The sequence below is a fragment of the Homo sapiens genome, chromosome 22 (assembly GCF_000001405.40).
Source record: "Homo sapiens chromosome 22, GRCh38.p14 Primary Assembly".
NCBI lineage: Eukaryota > Metazoa > Chordata > Mammalia > Primates > Hominidae > Homo > Homo sapiens.
In genome coordinates, this window is record NC_000022.11 from 35,704,191 (window position 1) to 35,730,815 (window position 26,625).

The 26,625-nt window shown below is 45.8% G+C and overlaps 1 protein-coding gene across 3 annotated transcripts; it reads left to right on the forward strand.

Moving 5' to 3' along the window:
- On the forward strand, positions 4,234-25,293 carry APOL5 (apolipoprotein L5). Of its 3 annotated transcripts, XM_006724321.5 has the most exons (6): positions 4,234-4,742; positions 9,437-9,548; positions 16,292-16,415; positions 22,082-23,004; positions 24,533-24,714; positions 25,164-25,293. In XM_006724321.5, exons 2-5 carry the CDS (start codon positions 9,518-9,520, stop codon positions 24,706-24,708), a joined length of 1,254 nt encoding a protein of 417 aa, XP_006724384.1. In that variant the 5' UTR covers positions 4,234-4,742; positions 9,437-9,517; the 3' UTR covers positions 24,709-24,714; positions 25,164-25,293. The 3 variants fall into 3 exon arrangements, with proteins under 3 accessions (XP_006724384.1, XP_016884434.1, NP_085145.1); XM_017028945.3 differs by lacking the exon at positions 16,292-16,415; NM_030642.1 differs by lacking the exons at positions 4,234-4,742; positions 9,437-9,548 and adding an exon at positions 13,682-13,736 and having other exon boundaries at positions 16,378-16,464; positions 22,021-23,004.
- Positions 25,294-26,625: the final 1,332 nt, after the last annotated feature.

Consider the following 26,625-nt stretch of genomic DNA (forward strand, 5'->3'; position numbering starts at 1 on the left):
ACAAGACCAAGGGCTTCTCAAAATGCTTCTGCAGAGATCTTAATTTTGTTAGATTTAGAGGTCAATAAATGGAGTTTTCTGAGTCACTCGTGCTCTTCTGGCCTGGCCTGAGCAGGGCCCAGGGCAAGATTTACTTTTGTCTGACATAGAGCTGGGTCTTGGTACTAATGAGCTTTTTCAGACTTTGACTTGGGAAAGGCAGTGGCTATAAGCAGGATTGGACTTTTGGGTGGGGCCCTGGGTCTCTTGGACGAATTTACAATCTATTGCCTTCCAAGACTTTCTTCTTCAAAGCCCCAGTCAGACTGTTCATGGCCCATCCAAATCTTTCTATAACATTCATGGTCATCCCATAGCCCAAGGAGTTACTTGCTTATTGATTTTGTCATTGGAAACTGTATTGTTTTGCTTAACACATATCCTTAAATTTACAAAGGTAGATTTGTTATGAAAATTGCTTTGGGGCTGTCATAACCTACCTTTCAAGAATGAGAAACTTGGCGAGGTGCAGTGGCTCACACCTGTAAATCCAGCACCTTGGGAGGCCGAATTGAGAGGATTGCTTGAGCCCAGGAGTTTGAGATCAGCCTGGGCAGCATGGCACAAAACCCTGGCTCTACAAAAAAATACAAAAATTAGCTGAGGGTGGTGGCGCACGGCCGTGGTCCCAGCTACCCGGGAGGCTGAGGCAAGAGGATCACTTGAGTTTGGGAGGTTGAGGCTGCAGTGAACCAAGATCACACCACTGCACTCCAGCCTGGGTGATAGAGTGAGACCCTGTCTCAAAAAAAAAACCAGAAGCTGGAAGAAAACTAATATTGCAAAGCACTTACATAGATCCGAGGCCTTTTACATGCAAGGTTATTTGTGAGGATTATAAGGTATCATAAAGGCAGGTAGGGTTAGCTCCATTTTACAGATGGAGAAGCTGAGGCTTAGAGGTGAAAACTTGCCCAGCAATACAGGATTCAGACCCCAATAGGCCTACCTGGAAAGCCCTTCCCAACATATTATGCTGTTCATAGAGGGAAAAGATGAGCAAAGAATGGGGACTTTTCAAGAATTCACTTAGAATGTCAATGATAGAATCATGTGTGGGTATCTTGAGTTTGGCAATATAAATGACTAATTGTGCAGAAGCAAAATATCACATTTCCTGCTCCAGCAGAACTGCAGGATTCTCCAAACACAAGCGTGACTCACATGGTTGGAGTGCACACTCTGGATAATATAGATTTCAAATTCCGGCATATGATGAAGATATGAGAAATTTACTTATTTATTTATTTTGAGACAGGGTCTCGCTCTGTTACCCAGGCTGGGATGCAGTGACATGATCTTGGCTCACTGCAACCTCCACCTCCCGGGTTCAAGTGATCCTCCTGCCTCAGCCTCCCTAGTAACTGGGATTATAGGAGCCCACCACCACGTCTGGCTAATTTTTGTATTTTTAGTAGAGATGAGGTTTCACCATGTTGGCCAGGCTGGTCTCAAACTCCTGACCTCAGGTGATCCAACTATCTCGGCCTCCCAAAGTGTTGGGATTACAGGCGTGAGCCACCGCGCCCAGTCAGATAAGGGAAATTTATACAGGAGGTTATAAAGCCTTAACAATGTTCCAACATATTTTCTGGGTTTCCTGTTCTGAGAACAATTAGCAACCATCTCAAATTATGGGGTCACCAAAGCTCCCCAGTTTTGCTGCTGGTTGGCCTCTGGTTGCTTCGAGACTTTTTTTTTTTTTCCTGTCTCGCTCTGTCGCCCAAGCTGGAGTGCAGTGGTGTGATCTCAGCTCACTGCAAGATCTGCCTCCCAGGTTCACGCCATTCTCCTACCTCAGCCTCCCGAGCAGCTGGGACTACACGCGCCTGCCACCACGCCCAGCTAATTTTTTTTTTTTTTTTTTTTTTTTTTTCTGAGTGAGAGTCTTACTCACTTTGTTGCCCAGTCTGGAGTGCAGTGGTGTGATCTTGGCTCACTGAAACCTCCGCCTCCCAGGTTCAAGTGATTCTCCTGCCTCAGCCTCCTGATTAGCTAGGACTACAGGCGTGCACCACCATGCCCAGCTAATTTTTGTATTTTTGGTAGAAACGGGGTTTCGCCATGTTAGCCAGGCTGGTCTCTAACTCCTGATGTCAAGTGATCTGCCTGTCTCCGTCTCCCAAAGTGCTGGGATTACAGGCGTGACCCACCACACCCAGCCTCTTCAAGGAGACTTTGAAGCCTCTGGAGAGGACCTACAGGGCCCAGTTTGGACATGAGCATCTCCAGCCCAGGGAAGGGCTCAGTGAAGAAACCCCACTGAGCATGGGCCAGTCCCCCAAGGTGGTGCAGCTCTGTGGATTTCTCCTGGGCATCCCCTTTTCCCCTTTCAGACTCCTCCAGGTTGTTTGGCCTGGGAGCTGACGATGTGAGTGCATTTTTCATTGCAATGAGATCTTAGGGCTCTGCAAGACTTTGACAGAAGAGTCAGGCCTGTGAGTGCTGTCAGACCCTGGCCTGGAAGGTCTGGGGTCTCCCTGGTGTGCAGAGGGCAGGTCTTCACCACATGACGGCGCTTCACAGCCTGGGAAGGGCGTGTCTATCGTTGCGTTTTTAATTTGCATTTGCTTACTTATAAATTATATACTATCACACTCGTCTTTAAGCAAAGAAAAAAGAAAAAGAAATACAAATTACAGTCACACACTGCATAATGATGTTTTGGTCAAAGATGGGTAACCCATAAAATTATAACGGGTTTTTTTTGTTTTTTTTTTTTTTGAGATGGAGTCTCACTCTGTCACCCAAGCTGGAGTGCAGTGGTGCGATCTCAGCTCACTGCAACCTCTGCCTCCCAGGTTCAAGTGATTCTGGGCCTCAGTCTCCCAAGTAGCTGGGATTACAGACATGCGCTACCACGCCTGGCTAATTTTTGTATTTTAGTACAGATGGGGTTTCACCATGTTGGCCAGGTTTGTCTCAAACTCCTGACCTCAAGTGATCCGCTGGCCTTGACCTCCCAAAGTCCTGGGATTACAGGTGTAAGCCACGGTGCCCAGCCCATTTTAATCTTTTATATCATATTTTTACTGTCCCTTTTCTATATTTAGAGATGTTTAGATACACAAATACTTACCATTGTGTTACAGTTGCCTGCAATATTCAGTACAAGCACATGCTGTACAGACCTGTAGCCTAGGACCAATGGGCCATACCACGTAGCATAGGCATGGAGTAGGCCAGACCACCTAGGTTTGTGTAAATATACTCTATGATGTTTGTGAAATGATGAAATTGCCTAAGGATGCATTTCTTAGAATGTGTCCCCTTCGTTAGGTGAGGAATGACTGTACTAATGAGGTTGAGCATCTTTTTAAATATTAACTGGCCATTGGATATCTTCGTTTGTGAAGTACCTATTTCAAGTTTCTCATCCACTTTTCTATTGGACTATACATCTTCTTCTTACTAATTATAGGAATTCTTCACATTTGCTGGAAATGGACCTTTTGTGGATCAAGGGACTATTCAGTAACGAGAGTAAAGGAGGAGAGTGGAGAGTGGTGGGGGGCCTCTCATCAGGCCATAGAAACCACAGAAAAAGTCCTCGGCCTTAGCCTGAGAGCCATGGTGCCCTGGAGAAGGGTTTTTCTTACCATCTGACTATTCTGTTCTCTTCAAGACTGACAGCACTGGTGTCATTTGGGAGTTCGGTTAGAAATACAGAATTCCGGCTGGACACGGTGGCTCATGCCTATAATTCCAACACTTTGGGAGGCTGAGGCGGGCGGATCATTTGAGGTCAGGAGTTTGAGGCCAGCCTGACAAACATGGTGAAATCCTGTCTCTACTAAAAATACAAAAAAAAGTAGTCGGGCATGGTGGCACGCACCTGTAGTCCTAGCTACTTGGGAGGCTGAGGCAGGAGAATTGCTTGAACCCAGAAGACAGAGGTTGCAGTGAGCCGAGATCACACCACTGCACTCCAGCCTGGGAGACAGAGCAAGACTCCATCTCAAAAAGAAAAAAAAAAGAGAGAAATCGAGACCATCCTGGCTAACATGGTGAATCCCTGTCTCTACTGAAAATACAAAAATTAGCTGGGCATGGTGGCATGAGCCTGTAATCCCAGCTACTTGGGAGGCTGAGGCAGGAGAATCGCTTGAACCCGAGAGGTGGAGGTTGCAGTGAGCCGAGATCCCACCACTGCACTGCAGCCTGGGCAACAAGAGCAAAACTCTGTCTCAAAAAAAAGAAAAAAAAAAAAGAAAAAAGAAATACGGAATTCCAGGCCCTGTCCTGTCCAAGACCTCCTGAAACACAATCAGCAATTTGATAAGGTCTCCAGGGAATGATTTACACGGTAAAATCTGGGAAGTGCTGGTTTGTCAAGAACCTTCAGGATCACATCTGTGCTCTTCACAAACATCGCTTGGATTAAAAAGGGGGGAAGGGGCAGAGCCGTCCATGGTTACAGTTCTGTTCCAAGATAAATATACGCTTTCCTCTGCGCTGATTTTTTTCTGATGAGAAGACCAGAATATTTATGCAACTCCCTTGAGTAGTTATATATTTATAGGGGCAGGCAGTGGTCAACAGTGGCCCGAACCATTGGACTCCTTGCTCAAAACTGCCTCAGCTCATCTGCCTGAAATTCCAGTTACTGTCATGTTGTGGGGACCCATATAGGAACAAAACGTGGACTACTCGAGAGGTAGCTACCCTGCGCCCACAGACTGTGACAACGGAGGGTGACCCAGGTAAGTACTTCAATCGAATGAACTTTAATTTCCTTGGCTACACAATGCGAGTAACACAAATGCGCTTCCCTTACAATGCTATTTTGAGTGGTACATGAGAAAATGGATGTCAAGTCTTTTTTTCATTAAATGATATGTCAGTCAAAAGATGAGTGTGGATGGTGGTTACCATGGGTGGTGGACTTGAAATGACCTGTGTTCACTTCCTTTTACTTATCGAAGTGTCAACATTTGTTATCAAGAACATGCAAAACGTATGCATATGCAGGTTTTGAATAAAAAGCTAATGCGATATAATCTTTGTCAGTATCTAGATATATTCTAAAAAGCAAAGCTAAGATAGTATTATGAATCAAAATGTCTTTTCTTCTGTGCTCTGAAGAACTAATAGCATGCCAAAAAAATCATACTAAGGTATAAAACACACAAAATTTTCACACACACACACACACACACACACTTCTTCTGAGAGTTTCTATTTTCATGGCTATTGTAGGCGCCAGTCTGTTGTTTCTGTGCTGAATGTTCTAGAAAGTCTGAAGCCAACATACTTGGTCGCTCAAGAAATTCCTTTGTTTTATCTGAAATCTAGTAACTTCATTACATTTTCCCTGCTGCCACCATTCAGCAACCATTTTTCCTGGGACCTAGTGTGCTCTTTTATATCTAGAAATATTTCTTCAATTTTATCTTTAAATATTTGTTCTGTTTACATTTTCCAGTTTTCTTCTTTGGGGATTCCAAGGAGCATATGTTGGCATTAGCAAAATTCCTATTTATTCCATATGTTTTTGCTAAACTTTTTTCAGCACTTTATTTTCACTTCATCCCTGTCTTCTATATCTTTTTTTTTAATAGTGTCTGTTTTCTCTTGTATAAAATCCAATGAGCATTGATTTTTTTGTAATGACTTTATTTTTCTCTTCTCTTCTTTCCTAAGCTCCACCAGCTTCCATGTGCTTTCCTCCTGTTACCTTGCCATGTTTCCTCTGAGCCCTCACATCTCTGTTTTATGCTCTTGCATTGTAGGGGAAATTCCTTCACTAACTTTAACAAAATTAATTACAGAAGAATGATAGTTTCCATCAGCTTGCTGGCAGCATGTTTCTGGTGAGTGTTCTTTATCTGCTCTTTGTTTTTGTTGTTGTTGCTGTCTGCCTTTAGGTCTTTCTTTCTTTCTCTTTTTTTTTTTTTTTTTTTTTTTTTTTGAGACAGAGTCTTGCTCTGTTGCCCTGGCTGGAGTGCAGTGCTGTGATTATGGCTCACTGCAGCCTCAACATCCCAGGCTCTCAAACGATCCTCCTGCCTCAGTCTCCCAAGTAGCTGGACTACAGGTATGCACCACTACACCTGGCTAATTTTTTTTCTTTTTTATTCTTCTTTTTTTTTTGTAGAGACAGGGTCTCACTTTGTTGTCCAGGCTGGTCTTGAACTTCTGGGCTCAAGTGATCCTCCCGCCTTGGCCTCTTGAAGTGTTAGCATTACAGGTGTGAGCCACCTCACCCAACCCCTTTTTGTCTATATACTTAAATGCCTATAAATGTGTATATATATACATATATATGTACACACACACACATATATATATATTCGTTTTAATTGTAGTGAAATATATATAACCTGAAATTTTCTATTTCAAGCATTGTTAAGGGTACAGGTCAGTGGCATTAGGTATATTCACATTGTTGTGCAGCCATGGCCACCAACATCCACAGAACTCTTGTCCTCTTGCAAAACTGAAACTTTGCCCCAAGTAAACAATAACTCCTCATTCCCCTCCCCCAGCCCCTGGCAACCACGACTCTGCTCCCTAGCTTCATGAATTTGACTACCCTAAGAATCCCATATAAGGGGAATCCTACGGCGTGTGTCCTTTTGTGAGTGGCTTATTTCACCTAGCAGAATGTCTTTAAGGTTCATCCATGCTGTAGCATGGGTCAGAACTTCCTTCTGGCCAGGCGCAGTGGCTCACGCCTGTAATCCCAACACTTTGGGAGGCCAACGTGGATGGATTACCTGAGGTCAGAAGTTCAAGGCCAGACTGGCCAACGTGGTGAAACCCCATCTCTATTAAAAATAAAAAAATATTAGCCGGGCATGGTGGCACATGCCCGTAATCCCCAGCTACTTGGGAGGCTGAGGCAGGAGAATCGCTTGAAGCCGGGAGTGGGAGGTTGCAGTAAGCCAAGATCACGCCATTGGCACTCCAGCCTGGGCAACAAGAGTGAAACTCTGTCTCAAACAACAACAACAACAAAAAAAGCAAACAAACAAAAAAGACTTCCTTCTTTCTTGAGGAGGAATAATAGTTCATGATGTGTATATATCACCTTTTGGTCATCCATTCATCCATCAATGGACAGTTGGCTTGTTTCCACATTTTGGCTATTGTGAGTAATTCTGCTATAACCATTGTTATACAAATATCTCTTTGAGACCCTGCTTTCAATTCTCTTGGGTATATATATACCCAGAAGTGGAATTGCTGGATCATATGTTAGTTTTATTTTTAATTTTTTGAGGAACCACCCTGTTGTTTTACACAAGGTGAAAAACGTGTTGTTTTTTATGGACCAGCTATCTTACACAGCAGCTGCATTATTTTCCACTCCCACCGGCAATTCACAAGCATTCCAACTTGTCCACAATATATATTTCACCATGTTTTTCCTTCCTTCCTTCCTTCCTTCCTTCCTTCCTTCCTTCCTTCCTTCCCTCCCTCCCTCCCTCTCTTCCTCCCTTCCTTTCTTCCTTCCTTCCCTCACGGAGTTTTGCTCTTGTCGCCCAGGCTGGAGTGCAGTGGCATGATCTCAGCTCACTGCAACCTTTGTCTCCCAGGTTCAGGTGATTCCCCTGCCTCAGCCTCCCAAGTAGCTGGGATTACAGGTATGCACCACCACACCTGGTTAATTTTTGTATTTTAGTGGAGACGGGGTTTCGCCATGTTGGCCAGGCTGGTTTTGAACTCCTGACCTCAGGTGATCTACCTGCCTCAACCTCCTAAAGTGTTGGGATTACAGGTGTGAGCCACCGCGCCCAGCCTTCTGTTGTTGTTGTGTTTTGTTGTTGTTGTTGCTGTTTGTTTGTTTTTTGAGACAGGGTCTCACTCTGTCACCCAGGCTGGAGTGCAGTGGTGCTATCATGGCTCACTGCAGCTTCAACCTCCTGGGCTCAAGTGATCCTCCCATTTCAGCCTCCTCAGTAGCTGGGACACAGGCATGTGCATCATACCTGGCTAATTATTTTATTTTATTTTTGTGGAGACAGGGTCTCTCTATGTTGCCCAGCCTGATCTCAAACTCCTGGACTCAAATGATCCTCCTGCCCCAACCTCCCAAAGTGCTGGGATTACAGGCATGAGCCACCACACCCGGCTCATTTTTATTTTTCGGTAAGAGTCGTCTGCATAAGTGTGAAGTGGTATTTCATGTGGTTTTCAAAATAATTATTATTTTTTAATTTTTTGTGGAGACAGAGTCTCACTATTGTTGCCCAGGTTGGTCTTGAACTCCTAGCCTCAAGTGATCCTCCCACCTTAGCCTCCCAACATGTTGGGATTACAGGCATAAGCCACCGTACCTAACCTCGTTGTGGTTTTGATTTGCATTTTCCTAATGATTAGAGGTGTTGGGCATCTTTTCACATGCTTATTGGCACATATTGGGAGAAATATCTATTCACATCCTTTGTCCATTTTAAAAATTGGGGGTTTTTTGTTATTAATTTTTTTTGTGTAGACCTTGTGTTGATGGCTTTTCTTCTTTTCATGGACCAGCTATTTATGGAAAATTAAATAGAAAAAAGCCAGGGCTGTGTTCTAGGCTAGCAGAACTGTTCTTTATGACCTGGGCCTTCTACCTGAATTTCTAGTATATATTTCTCCCCAGCAATGGAATTGGCAGTTTTCAGATTGTTCACAAGGTGGAGTCTTTTCCCCTCTCTGCCTCAAAAACAAACTGCTTCCTACAAATATGGCTTGTCTCACTGTGTTTCCTCATTTAGTCCTATCGTCACTGCTTTGTGGAACCAATCCGGATTCACTGCCAACCTGTACACCTTAGTGGATTCACTGCCAACCTGTACACCTTAGTCTTACTATTTTGAACACAGCATTCTATTGTTGCACTTTGGGAACACCCATTGCCTTGAAGAGAGGCTTTTCTTTTCTCTGAAATTTGCAGTTATCAACATCTTCTCTCCTCTTCCTCCCAAAGCCCTGCTCATTCCCATTGCTTTTGGCATCCTTTTAATCTAGTTTATCTATTTTCCCTCGTCTCTAATAGATGGTATTTGCTTCATTTTCCTTGTTGCTTATGGGTAATTTTTGAAAGAAGAGAAATTGAGAATGTGATCCATTCATGTTCAAACCAGAAGTCTTTGCAAGCACTTCTGAGAGTTGCTGTACTATGATGGAGATAGCGAGAGGCTTGACAGCGAAAGAAACAGATGCTGGGGTCCCTCCCTGCACCCTCTCTCTGGGGTAGCTTCCTCTGAGTTATTCCTCAACCCCTCCACCTACCATTGGTGTTTCCCAGCTCCAGCCTCAGTGCTCTTCTCCCCTCTAAGCTCTCCATCCTCCGTGGATTTTATCTGTTTACGAATTCCCATCTCGGAGTCACCAGGCCTCAGCTCCGTATGGCGCCCCGCCACTCATCGCCTCTCTGAATGACTGTGGGGTCGGTTTTCTTCTTTAGGAGGGGAAGCTGCCTCTCTTCCGGCCTAGGATCCATTGTCATCTGCAGAGAGAGAAGTGCCAAGGGATCCTCAGAGATACCATGACTGCAGCACCAACCAAAATCCACCCAGGTAATCCTCTCCTGTTCAGTAAATTCTCTTGACCCCAGCTCACTGTCCCCACCTACAACGGGAGATGCTAGAGATTATGAAGTGACTTGAGGCACTGGATGTGGCTGATCCTGGGTCCGAAAGTGAAGGTGAGGAACTAAAGTCCCTTTCTTGCCCTATCTCCCATGAGATTCTGCTCACACTCCTCCTACAATTAGAGACCTCTCATCCTGGGTTCCTTAGCTGTGGTGACTGTATTTCATGAACCTCAGATCCAGATACATACTCAAGTCAGAATACAACATCTGTGTTGGCCGGGCGCGGTGGCTCAAGCCTGTAATCCCAGCACTTTGGGAGGTCAAGGCAGGTGGATCACTTGAGGTCAGGAGTTTAAGACCAGCTTGGCCAACATGGTGAAACCCCGTCTCTACTAAAAACACAAAAATTAGCCAGGCGTGGTGGTGCGCACCTGTAATCCCAGCTACTTGGAAGGCTAAGGCAGGAGAATCGCTTGAACCTGGGCGGCGGAGGTTGCAGTGAGCTGAGACCATGCCACTGCATTCCAGCCTGGATGACAGAGCAAGATTCTGTCTCAAAAAAATAAAAATAAATAAAAATCTGCGTTATCCCTCTGGGCCCTGCAACTCTTAATGGGTCCAGTTTTGTGGTCAGTCCAGGCACTGTTATCTGGTTGTGTGGTTGAGAATTCCAGAAGTGCCTAGATTTGTTTTTGGCCCAGCCATGCCTTCTCACTATGTGGCCCTCGAGGGAGATATTAGCATGAGGGACAATGGCAAACAGTAGTAGCAGAAAAGGACAATGCCTCGTTTTACCCTTCTGGCTTGGGGCTGACTCTCCAGAGCAGAGCTCTCTGGCAGAATGGACTGAACTACCTGGCTTAGGTCTACGTGAGCCTCTCCCTGCCTCTAAAACCAGACTCCAAGTTCAGGATCGCTGTGTCCTCCAGCAATGAATGCAGGGTGTCCGACTGAGAAGAGTTGAGAAAGCAAGATAAATGAACTGGGGCCAGTGGATCCCTTCTTCCGTGTTGAGAGAGGAGGCAGGAGAGAGGAGCAAGCTCCTTGCATCTGTGTGTGATCCCTGAGCACAGTGGCCACAGCCTCCACTGAAGGTGGCCTCCTGGGTGTCTTGTAATGGAAACCACTCAGAAGAGTCTAACGCCCTGTTTGGGAGACGTGAGTCAAAGCAGGGGGAGAAGGGTAGTTCTTTCTCGCTCTCAGTGTGATATTCTGAGCTTTCTCATGGAAGATGCATTTTTAAATTATCAGAAATTGATCGATTATGAAATATGATGATTCGTGAAACATCTGTGTACATAATCAAACACAAGATGATGTTGTTTGACCTCTCATCCTATGCATAAAGCACAAAAGTTGCATAGGAGATGAATTTAACTGGAAGGGAACTATGAGCCCATTTCATGGACAGACCCAGAACCTGTCCAGTGGTTCTCCCACTCCCGCTATATGATCATCCTCTGCCTTTGCTGGGTCTCAGCCCTGCTCACTCCCTTCTTGCCTCCTCCCCAAAATAAAGTCTAATAGAGTCATCTCCCAAGATCTATTCTAGCCCAGGACAGCAGGGAGAGCTGAGCAAGATTTTAAACATAAAAAACTTAGTGTCAGCTGGGCGTAGTGGCTCAGGACTTTAATCCCAGCACTTTGAGAGGCTGAGGTGGCCAGATGGATCACCTGAGGCCCAGGAGGTTGACAGCCTGGTCAACATGGTGAAACCCCGTCTCTACTAAGAATGCAAAAATTAGCTGGGCGTGGTGGTGCACACCTATAATCCCAGCTACTCGGGAGACTGAGGCAGGAGAATCGCTTGAACAAGGGAGGCAGAGGTTGCAAAGCCGAGATCGTGCCACTGCACTCCAGCCTGAGCCACAGAGCAAGACTGTGTATCAAAAATTAAATAAATATATACATACATACATAAAAAAACAAAACTTAGTGTCATGAATGATGAGGTCTTATTCTAAGTGTTGTTCTGTATCTGTCATTTACTGGGTATACACAGAGTAGGCAGGAAAGCGCAGATAACACACATCTCTGCCTTCAAGGTGAAGCTCCGGGCTGCCACAATAAACCACTCACTGCATCAGCTGAAACCTCTGCACTGTACCTATCTATGTAGAGCATAGGAAGAGAGCAAAGAAATAAAAAGCAGAATGCCTAAAATAATGGGACAAATCAAAGTTGAATAATTATAACAAAAAATAATTAATATGAATATGAATAACATTAAGAAAAGTATCAAATTGGGTCAAAATCAGATCTGAGTAATTTTCTACATCCAAGAGATAACCTGAAATAAATAGGACACAAAAGGCCAAAATAACAAGTTAGAAAAACTTACATAGAACCAACAAAAAAAGAAAACAATATTAACATTTAACAGTATTAATTTGTCAGATTTTGTCTTACCATGTACTTGGCAGCATTCCCTGCACCAAATGCATTACTGTACAAGTGGGAGATTTTATGATAAAATAATGAATAATAAATCTCATTACTAAAATCTTTTTATTCTATTGGCTTTTTGTTGTTGTTGAGACAGAGTCTCGCTCTGTCACCCAGGCTGAAGTGCAGTGGTGCAATCTCAGCTCACTGCAACCTCCGCCTCCCGGGTTCAAGAGATTCTCCTGCCTCAGCCTCCTGAGTAGCTGGGATTACAGGTGCCCACCACCACGCCTGGCTAATTTTTGTATTTTTAGTAGAGACTTGTTGGCCAGGCTGGTCTCGAACTCCTGATCTCAGGTGATCCACCTGCCTCAGCTTCCCAAAGTGCTGGGATTACAGGCGTGAGCCACCGTGCCTGGCTTCTATTGGCTTTTATTATAAAACTAACAAGTTACTTTGGTAACAAAGCTCAATAATATAGATGAGTGAAAAGTGCAAAAGTATTTTGTCACCCTAGCCCTAAATCTCCCTCCCTGAGCTAAGCCTGTTCACATTTGGTGTATCTCCTTCGAGAATATTCCCCTACTCCTACATCACATATATAGTACTTAAAAAAAATAAGAAAAGAATATAAAGAACATATTCTTCAACCTCTTTTCTTTTACTTAATATATCCTGGACCTCTTTCTAGGTCAGTTGTACATAGATTTGCCTCGTTCCTTTTCACATCCATAAACCTTTATTTTGTATTGCTCTATTTTCATGTAAACAGTCCCCGGCATGGATTTTTCAAATTGTTTCCATTTCTTTATACAACTTCAAATAACTGGATGAACATCCATACACGTTTGTCTGTTGTGTTGTGTTGTGCCGTTGTGTTGTGTCCGTGGTGGGTGTATTTCTAGAGGTGGGATGCTGAGTGTCAGGCACATGTACTTCTCATGTTAAGAGACATCCCAAGAAGGCCAGGTGCAGTGGCTCACACCTGTAATCCTAGCACTTTGGGAGGCCAAGGAGGGTGGATTGTTTGAGCTCAGGAGTTAGAGATTAGCCTGGGCAACATGGTGAATCTCCATCTCTACAAAAAAAAAAAAAATATATATATATATATATATTAGCTGGGTGTGGTGGTGCACACCTGTAGTCCCCGCCACTTGGGGGGCTAAGACAGGAGGATCACTTGAGCCCGGGAGGTTACTGCAGTGAGCCGAGATTGTGTCACTGCACTCCAGCCCAGGTGCCAAAATGAGACCATCTCCAAATGAAAGAAAAAAAAAAAAGAAAGATACCCTAAATCATCCTTCCAAAAGCCATAGCAGCTGAGCGCAGTGGCTCACGCCTGTAATCCCAGCATTTTGAGAGGCCAAGGCGGGCGGATCACCTGAGGTCAGGAGTTTGAGACCAGCCTGGCCATCATGGTGAAACCCTGTCTCTACTAAAAATACAAAAATTAGCCAGGCATGGTGGCAGGCACCTGTAATCCCAGCTACTCAGAAGGCTGAGGCAGAAGAGTCAGTTGAACCTGGGAAGTGGAGGTTGCAGTGACTGAGACTGCACCACTGCACTCCAGCCTGGGCAGCAGAGAGAAGCTCCATCGCAAAAAAAAAAAAAAAGAAAGAAAAGAAAAGAAAAAAAAATAGGTGAGGACTGGGAGAGACAGGTTTCAGGCATGGAGAAGGGAGTCATATTTATTAATCATATTATAAGCTTAAATTTTAAAAAATCTAAAGCATGCCATGTGGCAAACAAGGAAATTTGCAAGTTCCCGGTTCCAAGGTGTTACCTGGTAAGTTCTTTTAAGCTTTCAGAAAACAAGCAATTCTCACGTTGTACAAATTGTCCCAGAAATAGAAAAAATACGTTACACTATTTTTTATACCCACCATATGCTATTGCTGGGTGGAGATATAGCAGATCCTTGGTTTTAATGAGGGAGATATCATGAGACCCTCTCAATTGCTCAGGTTTGAAAATACTACATCAAATAACTTCCTTTGTAAAGTTTAACTAAAAATGTAAAGTTTAACTAAAAACATAAGCAGCTCTTTAAGCCCCTGCTTGAAGCAGTGTGGCAGCGGGGAAGGGGTCAATCACTGGTTCCATTTCTGGTTAAAGTAGAGGCAGCAGGCAGGACAAGGTGGCGACATTATCAAAGAACTCATCTGGATATCAAAACTGTTATGACCCCAAAGCACGGTTGGGCGCAGTGGCTCATGCCTGTAATCCCAACACTTTGGGAGGCCAACATGGGCAGATCACTTGAGGCCAGGAGTTCAAGACCAGCCTGGCCAACATGGTGAAACCCTGTCTCTATTAAAAATACAAAAAATTAGCCAGGCTGGTAGTGCACACCTGTAGTCCCGTTACTCGGGAGGGTGAGGCAGGAGAATTGCTTGAACTGGGAGATCGCGCCATTGCACTGCAGCCTGGACAACAGACAGAGACCCCGTCTCAAAAAAAAAAAAAAAAAAAAAAAAGACGCCAAAGTGCCATGATAAGGGAGTGTTTCTATAAACATGACAATACATCTTCTCTTAAGGAAATAGCATAGAGTCATCAAAAATAATAGTTATAACAACTGTATAGCAAGATGGAAAATACTTGTATAACATTACATTTTAAAAACAGGGCACGTGGCCAGGCACAGCGGCTCATGCCTGTAATCCCAGCACTTTGGGAGGCCAAGGCAGATGTATCACCTGAGGTTGGGAGTTTGAGACCAGCCTGGCCAACATGGTGAAACCCCCATCTCTACTACAAATAGAAAACTTATCCAGGCATGGTGGTGCGCACCTATAATTGCAACAACTCGGGAGGCTGAGACAGGAGAATCACTTGAACCCAGGAGGCGCAGGTTGCAGTGAGCCGAGATCGCACCACTGCATTCCAGCCTGGGTGACAGTGAGACCGTCTCAAAAATAATAATAATAATAAATAATAATAATAAATAAAAACAGGACACACCATTATAAGTATAAAAGCCATGCGAAAAATAATACGGATTTGAAAAATAACGGGAAGTAGAGAATGAAATCAATAGTTATGTTGCAGGAGAACTAGGGGTGATTTTTGTCAAATTATATTTTTTGTCAAATTTGACTATCTTTTTGTCAAATTATATTGAAAATACATTTAAAGTGATTTTTGAGCAACAAAAGAAGCTGCAATGTGAGAGAGAGTGTCTGAACAAGGTGGACTCTGCTGTGTTGCCTGCCTGGGTAAAACCAACCACCATCCCGCCCACGAGCCTTGTCATCAGGCAGGTGTCATTCAGCAGGGACTGGACTGTGCCTCTCTCAGGGCTATAGATGATAGGCACTGGACAGAATGAGCGTTCACTTGCTCCCAAGTTAAAAATGTTATCAATTAACATGGCCCCGATTGTCTTGGTGCCTATCATTGTGTTGTTGGATGATTCTCAGAAGACTTTTGTGACTTAACGAAATGGGAAAAGTTCCCTTATCCCCCTTGCACAGTATAAAACGGGGTGTGGCTCACTTCTTCGGTGCCCTGCGGCTCAAACCCCTAGGGGGAGCATGCGGACCGGCAGGTCTTGGGGAGCGTGGGCTCCGACCCCACAGCAGCCCCATCTAGGGTTGAGTGTTTGCAGCTCCCGAGCCCCAGTGAGCTTATCGGAAGGACAAAGCAGAGGGTCTAATTTCTGTACTCCAGGGTTCTAACCCTAGTATGCCAGAAAAATTGGATCACACGTGGGCTTGGAGAGTGAGTGCAAGGTTTTATCGAGTGTAGTTCTCAGCAGATGGATGGGGAGCCAGAAAGGGGATGGAGTGGGAAGGTGGTCTTCCCCTGGATTTGGGCCACTCAGCGGTTCTCCTCCAACTGCCTTTGGCTAAATTCCATGTCATTCAGCCGTGGATGACCTGTCAGCATCCGCCGGTGTATTCTTCTTCCTGTGTGTTCCTCTCGATGTCCAGCTACTTGTGTGTGTCTGCCTGTTAGGTGGGGATATGGCGGGCCAGAGTGGTCTTAGAAAATGCAGCATTTGGGAGCGAAAGCAGAAATGCTTGTCCTCACTTAGATCCATGGGCCCAGGCCCGAGGGTGGAACCCTCACCGGGGACCATGCCTTTATGTAAGCAGCACTTCCCTGCCTGCTCCCATATCATTAACGTATAACGTCAACATTTCAAAAGTGCTTTACCAATCTACTTTGCCACTAGAAGCCTAAGCGATTTCCAGTTTTATTGCATCCTAGTCAACCTTGGGCATTCCCATGGTTTGTTTGTTTAAAATCATTAGACAAAAATCATGTGACATTTCTGAGACATTAAGATTTTTGTTGTATTCTTTTTTTTTTCTAATTCTCCAATATTGTAATTAGACAGCCAACTTTCCCGGAGCACTGTTATGTCTTTTCGGGCTGAGATGACTCAAGAAGAAATGTCCCTGATCCTTGTCCATCTCCAGGCTTGGGAGAAGGTTGTAAAGAAATGTGGCTTCGAAAGGTAATCTACGGAGGTGAGGTCTGGGGGAAGTCCCCAGAACCTGAGTTCCGTGAGGGCAGAGAACAGGCTGTTATGCTTATGGCCACAATCCCAGCATCCAAAACAGTGTCTGTCACAGACCCAGCACTCAATGAGTATTTGGGTTTTGTTTTGTTTTGAGACAGAGTCTCTTCTCTGTTGCCCAGGTTGGAGTGCAGTGGCACGATCTCGGCTCACTGCAACCTCTGCCTCCCAGGTTCAAGTGATTCTCCTGCCTCAGCCTCACGAGTAGCTGGGATTACAGGCGCCCGCCACCACGCCCGGCTAATTTTTATATTTTTTGTAGAGATGGAGTTTCCCCATGTTGGCCAGGCTGGTCTTGAACTCCTGATCTCAAATGCTCCACCCGCCTCGGCCTCCCAATGTGCTGGGATTAGAGGTGTGAGCCACCGTGCCCAGCTGTCAATAAGTATTTGAATGAAGGAATAAAATCTGATTGTTAATATCCAGATCTGTAGCCACCTTCATAGGATGAAACATACAAATGGGTTCCAACCAAGTTGGCTGAAGTGTTGCTCATGTTGTCTCATGTGCAATTGGAGATATGCAAAAAAGATAAAATGTACACATCCGCATAAAAAATATCTTAGTAAAAAAAATGTAAAACCTTTGGTAAGGGCAGGCACGGTGGCTCACGCTTGAAATCCTAGCACTTTGGGAGGCCAAGGTGGGCGGATCGCTTGAGGTCAGGAGTTCAAGGACAGATTGGCCAACATGGTGAAACGTCATTTCCACTAAAAATACAGAAATTAGCTAGGTGTGGTGGAGCATGCCTGTAATCCCAGCTACATGGGAGGCTGAGGCAGGAGAATTGCTTGAACCCGGGAGGCGGAGGTTGCAGTGAGCCAAGATTGCACCACTACTGCACTCTAGCCTGGGCGACAGAGCAGGGCTTCATTTAAAAAAAAAAAATCCTTTGGTAATGGTAAGTACATTGGTATACTGATAGATGCCCAGACACATGGCTTAGAGGGCAATGGAATCCTAGAAGCAGAATTTGCTGGTTTTCTCCCAATCCAGGAATATTCCTTCCTGGGTCTGCCTTCACCCTTTCCCAACCCATGATAATGTCTGAGTCTTGCCTTGAGATCCAAGCTCCTGGGACTTCCCTTTCCGTTGCCTTGGCCTGGGCATTCAGACTCTCCCACAGAGCTCAGCTGCAGCAATAGACTCACAACAAACTCTGCTGCCTAACAGAGGTTGCACTTAACTCTTGCCAAAGTGTCCATAAGGTTCTCTAAAGTGGGTTGCAATGCTCCCGCAATTTATAGCAACCAAATGCCTAAAGATAAAATCTTCATGCGTCATGCAAATGGGTTGCCTGCGCTTTCAGACACAGGTACAGTTATTGACTTCTCTGTGTCCTTGGCCCAGCCTCCCTCTACTGTTCTCTCTCCCACCTCCACTGTCAAGATTTCCCCCCAGTGCTCCCGTTAAGTCTGAGAAAGCTCCCCAAAAAAGGCATTGACTTTTCAGGCACAGGCACAGCCATTTTTCTTATCCGTGTCCTTGACTTTGGCTACTGGCCAATGCATGCTGCATGGACTGGAGTTAACAGGGGCCCTTCCTATGTGCTTGTACAATGTTAACCTCTCCTCCTTTGGTAAAGGGAAAGGGATGATTTTTCCTATCTTGGGGAAAATCAGCCAGTGGTTGAGGCAGACTAGAGGCTTCAGGAAATGGAGTCTCCCTCTGTCGCCCAGGCTGGAGTGCAGTGGCGCGATCTCGGCTCACTGCAACCTCTGCCTCCCAGGTTCACGTGATTCTCCTGCCTCAGCCTTCCGAGTAGCTGGGACTACAGGTGCCCGCCACCACACCTGGATAATTTTTGTATTTTTAGTAGACAGGGTTTCACCACGTTGGCCAGGCTGGTCTCGAACTCCTGACCTCAAGTGATTTGGCTGCCTAGGCCTCCCAAAGTGCTGGGATTACAGGCATGAGCCACTGCGCCCGGCCCTAGGTTCTTACCCTAACTCCACCACTAACTCAATTGTAATCAGGGAATGTCCCTCCTTTTTGGAGCTGGTTTGCTTCTCTATAAATAAGGGACTGGGCTCATTGATGGCAAAAATGTGGCAGAATACTATTTATCTTCTGTGTTGTGCCTAGAGGGCACCCACTAGGTCACAGCAGCACTCTTTCCCAAAGAGCCTAGATGTGTCACCGTGATTCTCCCGTGCTTTAGACACCCTCACTAACAATAGCGGGGAGGTTATGCCTCTTTGCCATCTGTGTACAAGGCGATCTGGAAGGGCCTTCCAGCTCTAACATCTCATAGTTCTAAAACTTAGGTTGGAGAGGGGGCACTGAACTCCTAGGTTTACAGAGATGTTCACCTTAAGCCCTGATGAAGTCTTTTCTTAAAAGAGTGACTTGAAGATGAGGAAGGATGTCAGAAGGCCCCTCCCGCTTCCTCCAGGAGGGAGGAGGGAGGGACCCAGGGCTGGTCCACTTGAGGCTGCTGATGGCCTTGGCTAAGGAGCAGAGGATTCTAAGGCTGTTGTCAACAGTTCCTTTGAGGCCGTGGGGTTCCTTGGTCCAAGTACAGTTTGCCCACAGCCTTGCATCCTTTCCCATAGATCCTCTCTCACTATCCATCAAACCCAAGCCAAGTCTCTTGTAGATGCTCAATTAGGAGACAGGCCAGAACCAGCCTAAGGGATATACAAGTCAAACCCTGTTACGTGCTGTAGAAAGTCACACATACAGTCCATAGTTCAGCAATACACACGCTGGAAACCCCAAATTCCATAAGAAAATGGTACTTAAGAACAGTGATTCTCAAAGGTCTTGCAGAACTCTGAAGTTCCAGATACTGAGCCAAAATGATTCAACAGGAAAATTGAATGGTGATTCTTTTTTCGAACTACAGGAAAAGTTTGAGTGGAGAGGATTTTCCCAGTTGTGCCTTTTTTCCCTTTTCCTCACTTTTTCTTAAGATTTACAAGCTCCCCCCACTTGCCTGTTAACAAGCGGCCAGAGTAGATCTCACTATTTCTAAGTGTGACCACACTTTTGTTAAAAATCTACTTTGGGTTGGGCGTGATGGCTCATGCCAGTAATCCCAAAACTTTGGGAGGCCGAGGGGAGGTGAATCACTTGAGGTCAGGAGTTGGAGAGCAGCCTGGCCAACATGGCAAAACCCTGTCGCTACTAAAAACACAAAAATTAGCCCGACATGGTGGTGCATCATGCCCGGCTACTCGGGAGGCTGAGGCAGAAGAATGGCTTGAACTCTGGAGGCGGAGGTTGCAGTGAGCCGAGATCGCGCCACTGCACTCCAGCCCGGGCAATAGAGTGAGACTCCATCTCAAAACAAACAAAAAAATTCTACTTTGTTTTCAAAATATTCAACACTGTCCCACTGAATGACAGTGAGCCCTCTCCCGTGGAAGGGGGATTTGTGGTTGTCTTCTTGGAGATCCCCAAACTTTTGCTTTGGAAATGTAGACTCTTTTACTAATTTTTAAAAATTATCATACATGCATTTGACACAAAAGTTAAGAGGAACAAAAGGGCAAATAGTAAAAAGTAAGTGTCGCTAGGTGTGGTTGCATGCGCCTGTAGTCCCAGCTGCTGGAGAAGATGACTTGAACCCAGGAGTTCGAGGCCAGCCTGGGCAATATAGTGAAGCCCTGTCTCAAAAAAAAAAAAAAAAATGGGTCTCCTTAAATCCTGTTTCCCGATGTCCCAGGTTCCCTGCCCAGAAGCAACCACAATTTTCAAGCAACCACCTTTTTTTTTTTTTTAAAGAAAAAGAAAGAAGATCAAAGCATCTGCTCCATACACTCTTGGTACTGTTTTTTAATCAAATTGGTGACAACTTGTTATATATGTATACATTATAAATGTATGCATGTATGTATATCTTTATTAGGAAAAGACTTGGTGACCAAAGTCAGTAAAGCTTTTAAGTTACATTTTATTCATCACATCAGTATCCACATACATTTATTTTATTTTTATTTTATTTTATTTTTTTGAGACGGAGTTTCACTCTGTTGCCCAGGCTGGAGTGCTATGGCGCGATCTCGGCTCACTGCAACCTCCCCGCCTCCTAGGTTCAAGTGATTCTCCTGCCTCAGCCTCCTGAGTAGCTGGGACTACAGGCGCCCACTACCGTGCCTGGCTAATTTTTGTATGTTTAGTAGAGACGGGATTTCACCAAGTTGGTCAGGCTGGTCTTGACCTCCTGACCTCAGGTGACCCACCCGCCTCGGTGTCCCAAAGTGCTGAGATTACAGGCGTGAGCCACCGTGCCCGGCCTTGTATCCACATACATTTAGAAGAGAGCTGTTTGTGGATGAATGGAATAGTAAGCCATCAGCCTAGGCCTGCATAGGGGTAGTTTGAACTGTGCTCCTGCTAAAAACACACGGCCACCCCCACCCAGGGCTCCAGGCCAGAGTGGACCTTCTGTCTGTCTGTCTGTCTGCTGCCCACATTGTAATAGCCCAGTGGGTTCATTTTGCCCTCTGCCCAGATAGAGTTGATTTATCAAGACAGGGGAATTGCAATAAAGAGTTTAATTCATGCAGAGCCAGATGAATGGGAGACTGGAGTTTTATTATTACTCAAGTCGGTTTCTCCAAAAATTCGAGGACTGGGTTTTTTGTTTTGTTTTTTTGTTTTGTTTTTTTAGATGAACTCTTGCTCTGTCACCCAGGCCGGAGTGCAGTGGCGCTATTTCGGCTCACTGCAACCTCCACTTCCCTGGTTCAAGCGACTCTCCTGCCTCAGCTTCCCGAGTAGCTTGGACTACACCACACCCGGCTAACTTTTGTATTTTTAGTAGAGATGGGGTTTCACCATATTGGCCAGGCTGGTTTTGAACTCCTGACCCTGTGATCCGCTCGCCTGGGCCTCCCAAAATGCTGGGATTACAGGCGTGAGCCACCGCGCCTGGCCAGGACTGGTTTTTTTTTTTAAAGGATAATTTGGTGGGTAAGGGTCCAGGGAGTGAGGAGTACTGATCGCTGGGGTTGAAGCTGAAATCATAGGATGTCGAAGTCGCCCTCTTGCGCTGAGCGGGTTCCTGGGTAGAGGCCACAAGACCAGATGAGCCAGTTAATCAGTCTGGGTGGCGACAGCTGAGCCATTGAGTGCAGGGTCTGAAAAATATCTCGAGCACTCATGTTAGGTTTTACAATAGTGATGTTATCTCGAGGAGCAATTGGGGAGGTTTAGAATCTTGTGGCCTCTGGCTGAATAACACCTAAACTATAATTTCTAATCTTGTGGCCAGTTTTTTAGTCCTATAAAGGCAGTCTGGTCCCTAGGCAAGAAGGGGGTTTGTTTCTGGGAAAGGGCTGTTATCATCTTTGTTTCAAAGTTAAACTATAAACTAAGTTCTTCCCAAAGTTAGTTCAGCTTATGCCCAGAAGAATGAACGAGAACAGCTTGGAGGTTAGAAGCAAGATGAAGCCGGTTAGGTCAGACCCCTTTCACTGCTGTAATTTCCCCACTGTTAGAATTTTTGCAAAGGTGGTTTCGACATTGTACCTCGATTCTCAGGGCTCTGCCTCCTGCACACATTTTAGTGCTCAGATTGCCTAGATGTCTTTAGCCTCACTCGTGAACCTGTGCCAGAGTTGGAAAATTAACAATTTGATGTCAACTGTCCACAGTGATGAGGCTGGTATGCTGTCCTACTTTCTGTTTGAAGAGCTGATGCGATGTGACAAAGATTCCATGCCAGATGGAAATCTGTCAGAGGAGGAAAAATTGTTTCTCTCATATTTTCCTTTGCACAAGTTTGAGCTAGAACAGAACATCAAAGAACTTAACACCCTTGCGGACCAAGTTGACACCACTCACGAGTTGCTTACCAAGACCAGCCTGGTGGCCAGCTCTTCCGGGGCTGTTTCTGGGGTCATGAACATCCTGGGTTTGGCCCTAGCACCTGTGACAGCAGGAGGCAGTCTCATGCTCTCAGCAACTGGGACAGGGTTGGGGGCAGCAGCTGCCATCACCAACATAGTAACAAATGTCTTAGAAAATAGAAGCAATTCAGCAGCAAGAGACAAAGCCAGCCGACTGGGGCCTCTGACAACATCACATGAGGCTTTCGGAGGAATAAATTGGTCTGAAATCGAGGCTGCTGGCTTTTGTGTTAATAAGTGTGTAAAAGCTATCCAGGGCATCAAGGATCTTCATGCCTACCAGATGGCCAAATCCAACTCTGGCTTCATGGCTATGGTCAAGAATTTTGTGGCCAAGAGACACATCCCTTTCTGGACGGCTAGAGGGGTGCAGAGAGCCTTTGAGGGCACAACTCTGGCCATGACCAATGGTGCCTGGGTGATGGGTGCTGCTGGGGCTGGCTTCTTACTTATGAAAGACATGAGCAGCTTCCTGCAGAGCTGGAAGCACCTGGAGGATGGGGCAAGGACGGAGACAGCAGAGGAACTGAGAGCACTTGCTAAGAAGCTGGAGCAGGAGCTGGACCGGCTCACCCAGCACCACCGGCACCTGCCGCAGAAGGCGAGCCAGACCTGTTCCAGCTCCCGGGGCAGGGCTGTTCGAGGATCCCGTGTGGTTAAACCAGAAGGTAGGAAGGCAGCGAATAACACGGACGTGGTCTTGCTCTTCTAAAAGCTTACCATGAGGGTGGGGGGCGACGAATGCTAAACGGACACATCAGTGCATAACTACAGCTGCCCCTTCTGCAAAGAGAGGACTTGCCGCACACCCCTGACATTAACTAGGCGCCCTCTGTTCTTCCCAGAATTGCGTTCTGTTCTCTCAAAGCCCTGACCATAAATAACCATAAATTCTTGAAATCCCATATTTGTGTGTTTGTGGGGGTGCTCCCTGTCTGCCTCTCCTGTGGTCTGCAGGCTCTGGCAGGGAAGGATAATTTGGCGGATAGGGGTCCAGGGAGTGAGCAGTGCTGGTTGCTGGGACTGGAGATGACATCATAGGAAGTCGAAGTCGCCCTCTTGCGCTGAGCCGGTTCCTGGGTAGAGGCCACAAGATCAGATGAGCCAGTTTATCAGTCTGGGTGGCGACAGCTGAGCCATTGTGTCCCTCTTGTCCATACCAGTATCCCCAGCACCTAGCAGTGCTTGGCACATAGCCAGTGTGCCGGAAATACGTGTTGAATGACGTGAATGTGGCATTGCGTGATAAAAACGGCACTTCAAATGAGTTGGGAAAGGATTTTTATTTGAAAAGTAGTTTACATTTCTAGACTCTCCTATGTAGAGAAATTAAATTCCTAGATATAAAAACTGAAACAAGAAAACTGCTACCAAAAAATAAAGGAGAATTTCGAGATTCATCTTTAATAGAATGACGCGGTAGCAAGGTCACAACCTGAAACCCGGGAAAAGGACACATAAGTGTTTGCCGAAGATGTGAAGGCTCAAATGTTCATTCACTCATTGTCCATTCAACAGATTTTCATTAAGTGGGGCCTGTGATGGGCCGAGGACTTAGGAGGTGGCTCCAAATGTGTCTGCATGTTGGAATTATCTGGAAACTGCAAAAAATACTGATGAGTGGGTGGGTCCCACCCCCAGGGACTGGGCTTTATTTGGTCTGGGATATGACCTGGATTTTAGACCTTTTTTTTGTTTTTTATTTTTTATTTTTTGAGACGGAGTCTCGCTCTGTTGCCCAGGCTGGAGTGCAGTGGCGCCATCTTGGCTCACTGCAAGCTCCGCCTCCCGGGTTCACGCCATTCTCCTGCCTCAATCCCCCGAGTAGCTGGGACTACAGGCGCCCGCCACGACGCCTGGCTAATTTTTTGTATTTTTAGTAGAGACAGGGTTTCACCGTGTTAGCCAGGATGGTCTCGATCTCCTGACCTCGTGATCCACCCGCCTCAGCCTCCCAAAGGGCTGGGATTACAGGCGTGAGCAACCGCGCCCGGCCGACTTTAGACATTTTTAAAGATCTCCAGGTAATTCTGCGGTGCCGCCAAGTTTGGGACCCACTGCCCTGGGGCGGGAGGGGTTTTCTTCTTCTCAAAGCCAATAGAAATTTGCTCTCTGGGGACATATTTGAGCTTCTGAACGTCCAGGGGCAGATCTCTTTCTTGGAAGTTGTAAGACACAGGGACTCATGTTCCACAGGGTCTCGCTCACCTCTCCCCTGGCCTGTTGTGGAGCACCAGCCTAGGCTGGGCCCTGGCGTGGCACTGAGGACACCAAAGAGGACAGTCTCTGCCCCAAGGATGCTTGGCCACCAGCCAGCCCCACCAGCACCAGCAAGAAAGGGGAGACAGGCCCCGGGAAGACACCGACAATGAGAAGAGGTAAGTGGGACGCAAGGAAGCCAGGAGCTGTGGGAACCCCTGACAGTGAAGTAACCCCTCCTTGGGTGGGTGGGCTTCAGGGAAAGAGAGGGAGGGCCTAACGGGGACAGAGGTTGTTGCTACCTTTCCATCCGGCCACCTGCCACGCCACCTGGTGCCTTTGCCAGTCAGTGAGATCACTGAGCTCTCTCTGTACTTCCTGCCAGATGGGCCATTCGTTCATTCATGAAGTTAATCAATGCACAAATCTCAATTGGGCACACCTCTGTGCCGGGCATCATGCCAGACCTAGCAGTGAATAAGACAGAAAAGTACTAGGTGTGCAAAGTGAAGAATGACCTCGCCCAGCCCTGTAATATGTGGGAGCTCAAGTGAACCCACTGTGGGATCCCTAAGATGCTGCAGAAGTGAGTAAACTATTTCCTTTCTTTTTTTTTTTTATACCCTAGTTGGTCACCCTGTCACCACTGAACCTTGATTTAACAGAGGCAAAATGCAAGTCTTCCCTGAAGAATACTGGGGGTAGGGAAACTTCTAGTGGCAATGATAAAACCAGCAGCAATGATAATAGAAGGCAAACTTGCAATGGTCTGTGGTAACCCCTGGGGACTCCAGAAATACCTGGGGTGGAAGATAAATTTGCAAGAGACCAGGCTTTTTTGTGTGTACAGATGGAATTGGAGGCCAAGAAGACCTACGTGTTCATGTTAATTAAGACTGGAGCCGGGACACATTCCAAACTCATGGATTTTCCAAATTGTATGTAACTACATAGTACCTTTATAATGAAAATGAAAAAAGTTTTAAACTATCACCTGCCACTCCTCCCCCTCTTCCCTCCTGTCATCTGTCATGACTCTGCAAGTCAACACCTTTGCATGGAGACTGTTGCTCAAGCTAAGATCCATTCTCCATTTCCAGGGCCCTGCAATGACAAGTTAATGATTTGAGAAAAGCTGTTATTGAGAGAAAACTATCCCTTTACTGTAGCATAATTTATAATCATGAAAAATATGGAGCCATTAAAATGTTCTAACACTAGGGAACTGGTTACATACAAAATATTCATCCACTTGATAAAACACTACATAGCTGTCAGAAATGATGCTCACTCAATGACTGGGTTAACGTGGAAAATGTTGATTGTATTATTAGGTGGAAAAGAGCAAGGACTTTCTTACCTTTTACCTAAGGGGAAACACATCTCTCAAACTTGTGTGTAGGAAAACAAAACCCCTTAAAGGAATACAGCAAGGTCACAATGCAGCTGTTTATTTAGAGGTAAATTTGGTGATTCCTTCCCCTCTTCTTTCTGCCTTTCTGTGTTTTTCAAGTTTTCAGTTATGCACATTACAGTTTTATAAAATAGAAGGAATATAGATAATAAATATTTACATCAAATCTAAAATAAAATGTTTAAAAAGAGGACAAACTCAGCCGGGTGCGGAGGCTCACGTCTGTAATCCCAGCACTTTGGGAAGCCGAGGTGGGCAGATTACGAGATCAGGAGATTGAGACCAGCCTGGCCAACGTGGTGAAACTCCATCTCTACTAAAAAATACAAAAAATTAGCTGGGTGTGGTGGCGGGTGCCTGTAGTCCCAGCTACTCACGAGGCTGAGGCAGGAGAATCGCTTGAACCCAGGAGGTAGAGGTTGCAGTGAGCCGAGATCGTGCCACTGCACTCCAACCTGGCAACAGAGGGAGACTCCATCTCAAAAGAAAAAAAAAAAAGAGGTTGGGCGCGGTGGCTCACGCCTGTAATCCCAGCACTTTGGGAGGCCGAGGCAGGCAGATCACGAGGTCAGGAGATTGAGACCATCCTGGCTAACACGGTGGAACACTGTCTCTACTAAAAATACAAAAAATGAGCTGGGCGTCATGGCGGGCACCTGTAGTCCCAGCTACTCGG